Source organism: Homo sapiens, chromosome 13 (assembly GCF_000001405.40).
Source record: "Homo sapiens chromosome 13, GRCh38.p14 Primary Assembly".
Classification (NCBI taxonomy): Eukaryota; Metazoa; Chordata; class Mammalia; order Primates; family Hominidae; genus Homo; species Homo sapiens.
Window position 1 is genome coordinate 76628626 of NC_000013.11, and position 14985 is coordinate 76643610.

The window sequence follows — 14985 nt, forward strand, 5'->3', positions numbered from 1 at the left end:
CTGCAAAAAAAAAAAAAAAAGAAGAAGAAGAAGAAGAAAAGAAAAGAAACCAGCCTATCTTGAGGGCAGGTTTTGGAGTTAGAAAGGTCTACACGTAAGTCCAAGTTCTGTGTGATCTTGGGAAACTTATTCTCTCTGAGCCTCAGTTTCCTTACTTTTTTCTTCAGAGGAGCTTATTATAAATATTGAATGAGGTGGCTGGGCGTGGGGGCTCTCACCTGTAATCCCAGCACTTTGGGAGGCTGAAACGGGAGGATCACGAGGTCAGGAGATCAGACCATCCTGGCTAACACGGTGAAACTCCGTCTCTACTAAAAGTAAAAAAAATTAGTCGGGAGTGGTGGCGGACGCCTGGAGTCCCAGCTACTAGGGAGGCTAAGGCAGAAGGATGGCGTGAACCCAGGAGGCGGAGCTTGCAGTGAGCCAAGATGGCGCCACTGCACTCCAGCCTGGGTGACAGAGCAAGACTCTGTCTCAAAAAAAAAAAAAAAAAAAAAAAAACTTGAATGAGGCAATACATGAAAACGCATAACATGCTGAAAAAAGACTAGGTTTTTGGCTCCTTTTATCCCACTGTCACTGTGTCTTTTTACTCATTTCCTGTGTCTGCAACAGGGAGGATAAAAACTAAGGATAATGTAATATGAAAGACAACACATATAGAACATTGATTTAAATTTTTTTCTGTTATAACTGATAATTACTTTGTCCCTTTAGAGTCTTTTGTCTGAATATTTTAAAGACTATAAAAGCAAGAATTATAATACGTAATTTATAACAACAGTAGCTAAAGTTTAGGGGTTTCATGATTTGTAAGTTTCCCTGTGATCCTCATAAAACCAGCAACCTGTTAGGTTTTTTGTTGTTGTTGTTGTTGTTGTTGTTTTGCTTTTTTGCTTTTTCCTGTCTGTTTAAATTGTGGCTAAGAGCTAATTATATGCAATGACCCTTTTAAATATGAATTGTTGGCTAGTGATCTGACCAAAATTACATGTTTAAGGACAGATAAAGGTAAGAATTGAGGAAACTGGAGCCAAGCTATCCACCATTTCTGTTTCTAATCTAACACGATTTAGGGATTACTCTTGCATCTTATTATATAGTCTATTTTTCTTCAGATTCCTCAAGCTTCACTTCCCACCACTAGTCGGCTTTGGGACTGGGTTGAGTAAGTCTAAATCTCTGGCGTGGCAGGGGTTGTTTTTTGTTTTTTATTTTTGAGACAGGATCTGGCTCTGTCACTCAGGTTGGAGTGCACGGGCATAATCTTGGCTCACTGCAACCTCCACCTTCCAGGTTCAAGCCATCCTCCCACGTCAGCCTCTCAAGTAGCTGGGACTACAGGCATGCACTACCATGCCTGGCTAATTTTTGTATTTATTGTCTCAAAGTCTAGTCTCAAAGGCTAGTCTCAAATTTCTGAGCTCAAGCAATCCGCCTGCCTCAGCCTCTCAAAATGCTGGCCACCACGCTGGGCTAAATCTCATCTCTACATTGATTGAACTGGGTAAGCTCGATTCCAACTCCATGGTTCTGTGAGTTTCCATGTACAAATGGAGGCCTCTGGACACTGAGGGACCAACCGCACTGTTCACCAGTAACACAAAAGAAGTCAAAAACATAGTCTTTTTACCTTCCTTTCTGAGTGGAGGTAGCTGCACAGTGAAGGGCAAATCACTATTTGACCTTGCCAGGGCTAGGGAAAAGCAGCCATAGGGTTGAGGGTTGAGAGTTGCATGCAGGGGCCAAATGGCAAAGGAGGAAGCTGAGAAGGCAGCTTATAGCCAAGATGCTTAATGCTCCAGATGCACTCCTGGCTTGGCAAAGACCAAATAAACACGCTTGAGCTGTTGATGGTTCTGTTTACTGTGCAATCTAAGGTTCTTTAGGCTAATGAAATGCCAAATAGTTGAAATGGTGTTTTTATGCAGGAGGCTTCTGTGTAATGACTTGGTTCTTTCTATGGGTACATCTAAACTATGTAGGAATGCAAAGAGCTAAAGACAAAATATTGCTTCGTCAATATGCATGTATAACGAAAAGTTAGGAGTCTTTTCTTAAGGTAAGAAAGAAACACCTCAAGAAATAATCAATTGATTTGGAGGAAAAACTGATAAGCAAGAGTCTAAAAGGGATTCACTGGGCTGTGCTGATGATTCAGAAATAAACAAATGATGACTGGTGGAGCTTGGGGCAAGAGGTCCCACTGTGAAGAGACTGTGTAGATTGAAGTCATTCACCCAGCAGTCCAGGCCATTGCTAACACCCAGGAGCACAATGGATACAGAGTTAGAGCTTATAAACCACTCAGTCTCTACTCATGTGAGAGATGTCTGAACCAAAAGAAAAAAAGAAAAAAAAAGAAAACCCAGCTATACCAGCTGTCCTCCCCGCTGTTGTTCAGTGAGGATCTACTTTTGACAGCAGCTAGCATTGTTCACTGGCTATTGACAGCCAGCATAAGTGACATCCATTGAAGCCCCGTGGCTTTGCTTTGTCTCTATCAAACTCACTTCTATATAAAAATCCCTTTGTCCCAAATAACTCCTAAACTCCAGAGCTGTATGAACACGGGAAGCAAAAGGCTGATAAAGGGGTAGGGAGTACAGCAGAACCCCTCTCCATATCTGTAATTAGCTGAAGCTAAACACGTATAGCCTGAGATCTATCCCAGAGGTAAATGTGTGTGTAAAAATGAGAGAGTTTTCATTCTCCTGCAGATACAATAGAGGATCTCAGAGTTCCAAGATAGCCCTAAGATTGAAGATGTTTCCATACCATCTTCATCATTATTTATAATGCCTACTGGGCCCCTTGTGAAGAAAGTCCAGAGAGTTGTCATTTGAAAAGATAGAGCATAATGGGGTAGCCTTTCAATTGGGCTTTGTGGGAAATTAATTTTGTATGGGAAGATACACATTTGATTGACCATCCAGTATTGATTCTACCACTTCTCATTGTTCATCATGAAAGGGGATTGACTCCATTCCAGGATGGACACTAAGTAGTCCATGCCAATCACGGAAATTTCTTTACCCACATAAGCATCAAGAAACCAGGCATAGACCAACAGCTCATGGCATCTCCCAGGAAACAGACATCAGTTCAGGAGTAAGCATGTGATTCAAATCAGGTCAATAAGACATCAGGGGACAATTCCAGAGGCTTCTCTGTAGTAAGCATCACAGAAAGAAATGCTTTCTCTCTCTTCTGCCAGAATGGTTGAGAAAGCCAGTAGCTTCATTTGTTACTGGCAGCATTTTTATTATTTTCAGGGGTCTGGCTTTAGTATGAAGTTTACAATGTGAATGGCAGACAAAGAGATGGAAAAAAAAACTAAATCCTTTTTGACATCTTTGAGTTACTGGATGAACCAATCCTGGTCCCTTTCCTGCCTCCACTAAGAGAGACTATATATTTCCTCTGTGTTTTATCCAGTTAAATCAGGTTTCTGTTACTTATGTACAAAAGCAACCTAATTAACACATATGGCTATGATGCTAGTTGAAGGGAATATTGTATTTTGTGGCTCTGTGGACCAAACCACTTCTTATACATAGAGTCAATTTTCACCAAAAAATGAATCCTGTTCTGGCATTCTTCCAGGGCAAAGGCTTATCCTCAGATTAAAAGTTAGAAAGAATTAGATGACCTCAGGAGAGGAGCAGAGTGAAAATATCTTTCCTAACCTTGTGAATAAAGGCATTTTCTAGAAACAAGAACTGAGATGCAATTGGAAAGCTAGGAAATGAGAAACCTGTCTAAGATGCTCTTTTAGGAGTGAAAATCAGGATAATATTACAAGAAAATGCTAATACTGTACATACAGATTGTAATATTCTGTCCATAACATCTGTATTTTATAGATGCTTGTTTACCTTCAGCATTTGAAATTGTTTTTGAAAGGTTTAGCATACCTCTGCTGTACTGTGAGAAAACCAAGAGTATATGCGTCATGGTAATAGAAACGAAAGTGAGAGGGCTCTAATAATACAAAGAAAAGTTAGGGCACATGATGCTGAATCCTTCTCTTTGGAGATTATACTACCCAGGCTCAACCTAGGTTTTATTCTGATGATATCATATTCCTTACATTGTAGTTTCCTTTTGGCTATGTTGTATTAAAATGGACAAAACTCAACATCTAGATGGCCTGAGTGGTCACACTGGTGACATATCCATTGCCCCTGGATGGTGTGCCCTCACCTCAGGGATGCCTAGGTTAGCAGAGTCGCTGTCCAGAGTGCTTATGAAACCTCAGGCACCATCAATCCCCAGCCTGCAGTGTGGACCTACTTCCTTCCATGTAACACTTGCAGCTTGAAAACTGAAGTTTCTCTGAATCAGTACCAGCCCTATTTATAGATATTAAGACCCTGCCCATTCATTTTGGAGGATCTTGCAGATTCTCATTTCAACAGAAAATCAATATATGGAAAGTAATTTGTGTATCAGCACAATCAGCAATGCACAAAAGCAGAGACAAGGAAAGTAAGCATTTTTTTCTTTTTTACTCTTTGGAGTAAAAAATAAGTTATGGCAATTTTTTCTCTCTGAATATCTCAGAAAAAAGAAAATACAGTTTTAGTGTGTCAACCTTTACTGGCTGATTGTAGGTCCCTTTGACTTTAATCACCTTTTAATATGTTATATATATGCACCAAGCTAACTTGCTAAAAAGGCTTTCAAACCATTTCATTGGGAACACAACCAAGTTCCTGAAAGAAAACAAACCTAAGAAACAAAATATCAAACAAATTTATAACAATGTAATTAACATTTTAAAATTTGGTTGGGTGTTTCTGCATATCCCCAAGCAATTGCACATATCAGCTGCTTCTTGTGCCATTTTAACTCAGAGTGACAAAAATATTTTTGAATTCTAATAGACAACATTAGCTTTCTGTTTTGCTTTTGCAATTTATTTGAATCCCAGATATGTGCTTTATTTTTTATAATTATGATATGGTATAAAATCTTCATTCTGTGCCCTGGAGTTTTAGTCCGTGGTTATTTTTGTTGTTATTTTGAAGTTAGAAGTCAGTCACGCAAGAGAGACACAGCGGCACCCCCCTTTGAAAATCTCAACTATGTACTGTATTTTAACATTATCAATATCATTTTTTTGACTTAAAAAAATAGAAAGTCCAAAGTATCAAAAAGAATTTCTTAGTTATGCACCACATGACATCCCTTTATTTTAAAATAGAAAGCCAATCTTTGGAGCAGGAATTTGTAGTTATATTGGATCTATGCTTCTGGTTATTGTTACTTTCATTATTCCTCAGTAATTTGGTTCATAGGGCAGTAAAATATAGGACACTATGAGACTCATTTTCAGCACAGCAAGCAGTTATAGGGTTTCACCATTCAACTTGCAACAGTCTTACTGTGCAATGAGAAATACATTTCCCCCACGATGATGAAATTGATGCAAGTAGGACCACACTCAGGAGACAGTAATACTGAAATAGGTAGGCTGGAGCATCTGTGGTTAGGTAGGTAATACAAAAAAAGAAAAAAGAATAAGGATCTCACAGAGGTCAGTTAATTTGAACAGTGGGGACCATCTAAGTGTGATCATTTAAATCCTAGAGTTAAAAAAAATCTAGTTCTTATTGATCAAATTAATCATATAATGTTAGATGTTGTTTTCAACTGCAGGCAGCTCTGAGTAAGGTGCGTATGATGTAATTCAGATATCTGGTTTTTTTCTGACTTAATGTGCTAAGACGATTTGTGTAGAGTGGAGGCGGTAGTTTACTTCCCTAATACTTCTAAAGCCATTATGACAATTAACAAATTCAGCCAACAGTCATTGGTCACAACGCATTCCTTGAGGAAGGTACAAAGTTGAGATAGGATTCACACATCTACTCATTACTCCACAAACATGTAGTGGGACCCTGCTATGTTAAGGCACTGTGCTAGGAATTGAGGTAATCACAGGAGGAGGCCGCCATTGAGCCTGCCGTCCTCTGGTTGACACCCGAAGAAGGAATGACATAAACCAGGTGGCTGATCCTATTTCTATATGGCCTTGTACAGTGATTACAGCACTGCCTTCAGAGGCAGACAGACCTAGATCACAACCCAGGCTCAAATCTCAGATTCTTAACTCTCACTTGCCTTTGGGAAAATCGTTTCTCTGAGCCTTAGTTCTTTCATCTGTAAAAGGTCAATACTAGCACCTACCTTGCAGATATTTTTAGGATTGAGATAATCTCTGTAAAATGCCAAAGCAGATGCACAAATGAAAATTCTTATTTAGATGACGATAAGTTTTAAATGGGCAAGGAAACCAATCAGTAGCCCTTTAATCAGGTAACATTGACCACACTCTTCTATATCTGACTTGAAAGATGTCAAAAATATCCTGGTGACAACCACCAGTGGGGCTATATCCTGTCTTGAAGCTCACTTCTTTTGAATTAAGACCTTGTGTTCTGTTAAAAGAACATGCATAGACATTTTCAGTCATTAAACATCTTAATATGAATTACTTCATTGTGTCCTACATGGAGGGCCCAGGTGACAAGGTTTTCAACTGTGGGCAGGAGAAAGGGTAGGTCCAGAGAATACTGCATTGTTATCATGAATATATCAGATCTTCAGTCAGGAGTATGAAGACCCAGAAAAGAAGGGTAAGGAAGGGAAAAAGGGAAGAAGAGATAGCAGTAAGAGGGAAGATGGGCATTTTAAAAATAACTAACGCTGACCAAAAAAACTATTCTAAAAATCTTACACACGTCTCACATGGTACTTTCGCTATTCTTATTAGGTAAGTACTACTCATGCTCCCAGTTTACAGCTGAGGCATCTGAAACAAAGAGAAACTAAATAACTTCCCCCAAGATGCACAGGTAATGTTACTGGCAAAGCCAAGAGGCACACAAAGGCAGCCTGACTTTAGAACCCTCTTCAGCATGGTCCTGCGCAGGTGCCTTTAGCTCTTTAGCCACATTACTAGATTGGACTTTATGACATTTAGCCAAGATTCTCAAAGTCCTTTGTATTGTAAGTCTACCCTGAGTCGATGAGAAGGCCCATTTTTACATCAGGAACTTCATGAGACCGCAACACAAAGGGCAGTAGAGGAGAAATAAAAGCAAGGGATTCTGTGTCCTAGCACTTTTATGGAGAATGTCTAAAGTGAGTACAGTATGTGCCAACACCTGGGAAAAGCATTTTGGAAGCTCTTTATTAGGAAGAAACCATTGTTTACTTTTAAGCACAGCTGTTAGAATGTAGTAAACAGTGTTCTTTTGAGACATGGCCAGATATTGCTACTTAACAAAACAGGGCTCCCAAATCCATTTACTTGGTAATAAATGGAGACAGAACACTGCAACCTACCAATTTACTTTCTGGCAGGAAGTACAGCTTGTGGTTGTATTTGAGGTTGGAAGCCCAAATTTCGGCAGAAATTTCCATGATGCAGAAATCTGGAGACATGAGTAGGGAGGTGGAGGTGCAGGGAGCATGTAGAATTTCTTATTTAAGCACAAGGGTAGCTTATGCTATGGGAACTGCATTTTTTTCTCCCTATTATTTTAGTTCTTTGGGGCTTGAGTTAAAAGTAAAATGAATTCCTCATCCTGGAGACCAATATGTCATTTATAATTTCTGGCTTCAGCTTGGGACCATTTGTCAGTCTTATAACCAGTAATGTTTCTTTTTGCCTTCTAATAAACTTGAACTGGCAGAGATAGAATGTTAGCTTCCCTACAGAGGAGGACTGAAGAATGAAAGATAGGAATCAAAGAACAAAAGGGGCCTTTGCATCCCAAGAGACCAATGTTGCCTTTTAATTTTCATTAGCGTTCTGATGGTGGAGGAGGGCATGGATTCAGGAAAATGAATGAGGAAACTAGCACTTCCAAAATGACTTCCAGGCCTATTAAAACATCAAAGCCAAAATACTGTTTCAGAAATAAACTCCAGATGACAGTTTAAAAGAAGACATACCAAAAAATGTTTTTCTTCATATTCACAAAACCTAAGCTCCCATCTTCATAGTGTTCTATGTTTGTACGTATTGAATAGCTTGTAATCATGTCAAATACAAGCATGTGACATTCATATAGAGACAGACAATCTAAAACACAATTCTTAATCATTCGGTATCACTCTAGTCTTTCCCAATATGGACAGGGTAAAAGTTGAACTTTTGTCATGCAAATTAAAATAGAGGAAGAACACTTCTACAAGACAATTCTTTTCGGAAGTTTTTATTGTGACAAAAATGTTCCCAACCACTGGAATATAAAAGGCACACAAACACATACAAGCATGAAATGAGCTAAGAACATATAGTAGTGAAGAAATCTGCTTGCAGAAAAACACATACTTTTGTTTATAATGAAGACTTTCATTTTTTAGAGCAGTTTTAGGCTCATAGCCAAATTGAAAGTACAGAGATTTCCCATATCTCAGCTGTTCCCACATATGCGTAGCTTCCCCCATTATCAACATCCCCACCAGGGTGCTACATTTGTTACAACTGATGAACCTACATTGACACATCATCATCACCTAAAGTCCACAGTTTGCATTAGGGTTCATTCTTGGTGTTGTACAATTTATGGGTCTGGACAAATGTATCCACCATTATAGCATCAAACAGGGTAGTTTCACAGTCCTAAAAATCCCCTCTGCTCCCTATTCACCTATTTTTAAGTATATAGCTCTGTGTGAATCACTTTCAAATAAAAGTGATTCAGTAAGAATCAAGCCTGATTTTAAATAACTTTTTAGTGCATAGTAAGGTTGGTATGAAATTGGATATGCAGTTTTGAGCTCTTTGTGACCTTGTGGGTGCTTTCCTGAAGTTTTTACATTAGAAACTCCAGTCCATTCAAACATCTGAATATTGGTAGAGACTTTGATATTCAAAGTCAGCTGATGCTTTCACAAGAATGGGGGACACATGCACCTTCTCTGCTAATATTCCCTTGAGAGCAAAACTGAAGTTGAATCCTCTCCAAGGATGCAGTTATGCCATCTGCAGCTGCCAATGGGAGGTGTCCACAGAGATCCCTTATTCTAAGGTCTGTATGGAACTAGAAACTGCATGTGCCAAGTTGTCAGGGACACTACTCATATGAAATATCTGGTGTTATTGTCCCAGATAGACAGTTCCCAGACCATGTGTACTGATTTTTCATGCAGAAAATATGGTCACCATATGTTCAGATTTCTGTTTTACTAGTTCTATTTCCTTTCCTCTCCCTTTCTTTAGCAGTTTATGGTTTCTTTTCCTTGACAAATTGCCAAGTCTTAATTTAGAAAACAGACTAAGTGTAAAATAACCATAGTGAAGAAACCAAAACAAAGAGAAAATAAAGCAAAAAGAAATAATACATCAAAATATTTTCCATAACAGAGGTATGATCTGTCTTCCACCTTCATGACGTAAGCCCCTAAAGCATTCAAGGGCAGCAAAAACCACTCAGAGGGCACCAACCTATGACGTCTACTTTTTTTTGTCTGTTTGGTGAGGTGGAGAGACTTGTTCAATTTTCTAGCAAGTCAGCTTCCTTAAAAAATAAAATAAAATAAAGTAACATGCAAAGAACTGATAGGTTGAGCATTTTCAGAAAACACATTTTCTTACTCCAGTTCAACCAAAATAAAAAGCAACAATCTTGAAGTAGAAAAGCCCAGGAAACTTTCAAATCTTGCCCAGTATCTAAGTGTCTAAAGAGGATTTCACAGGACCGTTCCCCTGGGTCATTCCTTTTTCCTTTGTCTCAGCCAAGTAGGAGGAAAAGAAAATCTCTCCCTTCCTGTCTAGCTTATATGATTTGTCCTCCTATTTAATGAATAAAAAGGAAAGAGAAACCAGAGCGTCCCCTGACCAGGTTCTTTCCCCCCTTCCCTTGTTCAAATCCCCAGATACTTATGGCTCTCCCCAGACTGCACTGTTACATCTGACACCTGCAAAATCTGCGCCGTACCCTCAGCTGGAGGCCTCTGCTAAGGTCAAGCCATGGACCTCATTGAAGAGTATAGATTCTCTGTTCAAGATAAAGTTCTTGCCTATTCTGACTCAATAAAACTTCATTGATTTGCCTAAATCCCACCTCCCTAAATTGAGGAAAGGCTTGGTCTTATAATAAGAGGAAATGGAGCACTTCTCATATCCCAAAAATTTGTCTCCTTGTCCCTAGCTTACCAATAATATTAACCTACCTAAGCGTGTGTGCCTGAAAGGAGATGGCCAGGATGAAGGTATGGAACAGAAGTCAAAAGGAGCCTCTGGCAGGTGTGTTTGACATGGTGCAGGAGAGGTGGGTGCTGTTCACCAGACTGTTTCAGAGGAAGTGGCAACTCATCAGCTCTTGTAGGGAAGGGAGTCACAGGGAATCACCCTCCTCACTTCCAGCCTACCTTCTTCTATCCTTCCTCTCTCTTCAGACTCACGAGGTACTCTGGTGACTGGACTGGCTTCCCAAGAATCACCAGAAAGGAATGCCTTCCTCCCAGAGCTTTAATTTCTGCTTCTAGTTTCCATGACTGACCGATGGTGTTGTGACTGGTGTCAGTTCATCTCTGAGATCGTGATGTGTCTAGAAGTACTGATAATGCTGAGGTCTTGGAGCTGTGGGAATGAAAACTGAATATCCTGTCTCACTTAAATATATTTACCAAGGTTAGGTGGCCTTAAAGACAAGAAGCCTATTGATGAAAAGCCAATGACACGTTGGCCTCTCAGAACAAACACTTCCCTTCAAAGGTCACCAAATAACACCAAATATAAACTTTAACTAATCAACCTCTTCCAATCCCTTCTTTCCTTGCTTTATCCTTTAACTCTCCAGGTTACTCACCATTCCACTAACATGCCAAGAACATGCACATCCCTACCCCTTTCTAAAACTGTTACTGCTCTCTAGAATTCCTTATGACTGACAGTCTCCAGGAAGTAATGGGGAACAGAACTTTTGAGGAGAGCTTCCATAATGCCTAGTCCAAATGGGTGGAAGGAAGGTGGTACCATTAAGTGAAGTGAGATATAGACAGGGTGAGGGGCAGATCTGGGAGGCAGCAAAGCATGGTGGGGATAATTGGTTCAGGGCCCTGTGGTCTTTAAAGTATCTATGAAATATTTCAGAAAAGATATATGCAGCAAATAGCCCAGGCAGAGGTTGGAAATGGTGACTGATACATGAGAACCATTAAAATAAAGCTGTGATTGATGAAAAGATTTCCAAAGGAATAAGAGTAGAAAAAAATAAATAAGAATGAGGACAGAGGCTTAACATACAAAAATAGGGCACAAAAATGTAAGCAGCATAACAAAATCCACTCAAGAAAACAGACAAACAGGAGAACCAGACTTCCCAGTCACAGAAGCCAATGGGGTATCCAAAAAGTAGAATCAACAGTTTGAAGAAATACCAAGACCGTAAGCAACAGAAGAACTGAAAAAAAATTACTAGACAGGAGAATTTAGAGATAGAGGAAAACTTGAGTAGGATGCAGCATAGTTAACTGTGGAGCAGAACTGCCTGGGTTTGCATCCTGCCACATCCTTGCTAGCTGTGCCAACCTGGGCCAGTTCTTTACTCTACCTCTGCCTTAGTGCCTCATCTGTAAAATGGAGATTATGATAGTGCCTATTTCAGAGAGTTGGCATGAGGATCCTGTGAGTTACCATATTTAAAGTACTGATACCACCACCTGACACAAGCTCTATGTGACTATTTGCTGCTATTATTTAATATTATGACATTTCAAGGAACCACAATATATATTGTGGTTATATATATTATACTCTAAAAAGAGTTTCAATAAACTGAAGGAAAGAGATAGAGCACTATCTTTAATAGGAAGATAAGCACAGCCATTTTTCCTTTTGACTTTCTCCCACATCAATACTAAGTGTGGGAGGAAGAAATATCAAATTCAGGGATAGTTGCAGCATAAATACTAGTAACACTGAAACCACAGCTCTTGTCAGATACTGGAAAACTTCAAAGTCCTTACAGATACTTCTACTGTATCTGAAAACATGGAGTAAACATCCATCTGTCTGATGGTACATTAGATACCATCAGGTACATTTTTTTAATGTACTTAAAGTACTTTTTAAAAATTTCTTCCAACTCTGTGATTATGTAATTTGGTAAATCAAGTATCTATCAATTTTAATCTTTAACTTCATCATCCATAACATGGCTTTCAGAAGTAAATATTGCATCAAAATAAACTTATGAAGTAATTTACTCTTTCCAAGGAAACATTACAGAATAATCTACACACCACATGTCATTACTTTAAGAACAAATTATGCTTCCCCAGATAATTTTGCTTTAACTCTGGCCATCAATCACCTTATAATTAGTAAAGAAAGTGGTTCTTCTCCCTAATTATGTAAATTCTTTCATCTATAAATAAAAAGTAGAAAATAAAGGAAGGATTTATTATAAGGAATATAAGGTACTTTTTTAAATTAAAAAATGAGTGTAGTTTTTAGTTTTCTCAGCATTTAGGATCATTCTGTTGGTATGGTATTCCACTGTATTCTTATTTCATAGCCTCACAAAGCTTCCATTCACATCAAAAGTATGCTCAAGACCCTAATCTTGACCATGAAAGTTCTCTTTGTCTTTACGATTACAGCTGGTAGAGCTTAGCTGGCCATCTGTTACCAATTATTCTATTTAGCATCATAGACTATATTGGCCTCCTCCACAAAGCCTTTCAAGCAAGGTTTAGTTGGAAATTTTTGTTTCTCCTTTCATTTTGAAGGAAAAAACTAAGTTAACAGAAGTTTTTTTTTTTTGCAAGACAATTAATAAATTATATTTAGAAAGTAAAACAACCAGGACTGTCACAAACAAGTTACCAATTGAACACCGCATTCCAGTTTGTGCCCAGTTAGGTGTGCTAGGTACTGCAAAGTTGTGGTTTGCCAATTTTTCTATGTCATGCTCCACCTGCCATCCTATCAAACAATCTTAGTGTCTCCATGGCTTTCTTTTTAAAGTACATGTTTGGACTTCTAAAAATTTGTGTCAAATTTTAATAACTTAAATAAGTTGAGCAGTAGATGAATCTGCTGTTTGATAACCTCTAATGTAAGGAAAATAAAAACTGTAAGAGTGAAGTCCCTGTTTGTAAGAATATAGGCTTAACTTGGGAAGGAAAACTAACAAAGATGGAATGATTAGATTATCAGCAAAGTATGAAGCAGTGGGAAACTGTCCATAAATGCAATGAGAGTGGAAAAAAGGGAGGTCAACCATGAGCAGAAGTAAACATTCACCTTATTGGAAAGGAATTAAGGATGAGAAGAAGGGCTTTCTATGGTAGGAAAACAACTTGAGAGGAAAATCCCGGCAATATTTTTGCCAAGAGAGGGCCCAAACAGGAGCCTCGGAAGATTTCCAGGAACTAGTTCAAGCAACATCCTTTAAATGGGTCACTTTCAGTCCACAAACTTCTTTTCGTCTAGAACAGTAGAGTTTAATTTACAATTTGGTATGTCATGTCATTTTATAGCTCTACCAAATTTATAAATTAAACAAGACATTTCTCATATGGGCAACCTAAAAAAAGAAAACTTAAAAACGTTTGTCCTCCTTAAAAGGAAATCCAGGTTCTTTCGTTGTTCATTATGTACGATTGCAGTCTATTTTCAAAAAATGTTTATGCTTCAGGTTTTATTTTCCTGGCATTATGCTGCACGTAATACCAAGCCCTGCATGGCTTCAAGGAAAAGCTGCTTCACAGCCTCCCTGGCCAGGGGTAAGAGAAGATTCTGCCTGCATAGTCTGGTCTGGGAAGCAGCCTGACTCTGGCTATGTTTACTGGCCACAGAACTCAAAGGGCATATACTTTCTAAGAGACTGCTGATGCTCCCTGCAGGTTGTTTAATTCTACTCAGAAGCTGACTTTAAATGACCTAGGTGGTAAGAGAGGGGGCTCTGTCAGATCGCAGAGACTTTGTCCATATTTTCTGCCCCAGCTTTGAGAGTGGCGAGAAAGGAAGAAAAGAGGGTATTGAGAGTCAGCTGTTGAGAATTGGCACATTTCAACAATTGTTTTACCCCGAGAAAGTCATGTGCTTATTTTTAACAATGCCTATTTTTAAATGAGAGTTATTTTCTGAGTAATTTATTTACAATCATGTAATTTTTTAAATCATTAAAAACCAAGCTATATAAAAAGTATATCAAGAAATGCTTACTCCCACCGTCTCCTTATATCTTATTCTCTAGTCCCCCACAACTTTACTCATTTCCTATGTACCCACCAGATATTTTCAAATCAAATACCATCACATTTAAGTGTATTCTTTTTATTTTTGCCCTTTCTTACATAAAAATTAACATACCATAAAAATGATATAGTGATTATGCTAATTCCAGAAAAAAATTTTTAAATTGCATTGGTTTAGAATAGATTGAACATCAGTAGAGAGAAAACCTCCTGCCCGGCATCACTGCCAAAGTCGCCAGTGGATGAGGTTTTCTTGTTGGGAGCTGAGTTGGGGAGTAGTCATCACTACTTCTGATGACTGCTCATGCGTTGTCTGAATTCCGAGAAATCTGTGCCAGAATCTCCTCCATGGTCCTCAAGCCTGTGACTCCAAACTCTACACTAGACACACCAAGGACCTTGAAGGACATTCCACAGATTATATTCTACTCCTATCAAACACCAGAATTGATCCATGCTGTTACTTTTCTTTTTTGAGATAAAGTCTTGCTATGTCGCCCAGGCTGGAGTGCAATGGTGCAGTCTGGGCTCACTGCAACCTCCACCTCCCGGGTTCAAGTGATTCTCCTGCCTCAGCCTCCCGAGTAGCTGGGATTACAGGCATCCACCACCATGCCCGGCTAATTTTTATATTTTTAGTAGAAATGGGGTTTCATCATATTAGCCAGGCTGGTCTCGAACTCCTGACCTCATGATCTGCCTGCCTCGGCCCCTCAAAGTGCTGGGATTACAGGCATGAGCCACTGCACCTGGCCC

The 14985-nt window shown here is 39.0% G+C and overlaps 1 annotated feature.

The window, feature by feature from the left end:
- Positions 6633-6682: an enhancer, noted in NCBI's record as "active region_7836". NCBI's record gives its function as "activates an Ori minimal core promoter by ATAC-STARR-seq in GM12878 lymphoblastoid cells {active_cell/tissue: GM12878}" and the evidence as "EXISTENCE:reporter gene assay evidence [ECO:0000049][PMID:35858748]".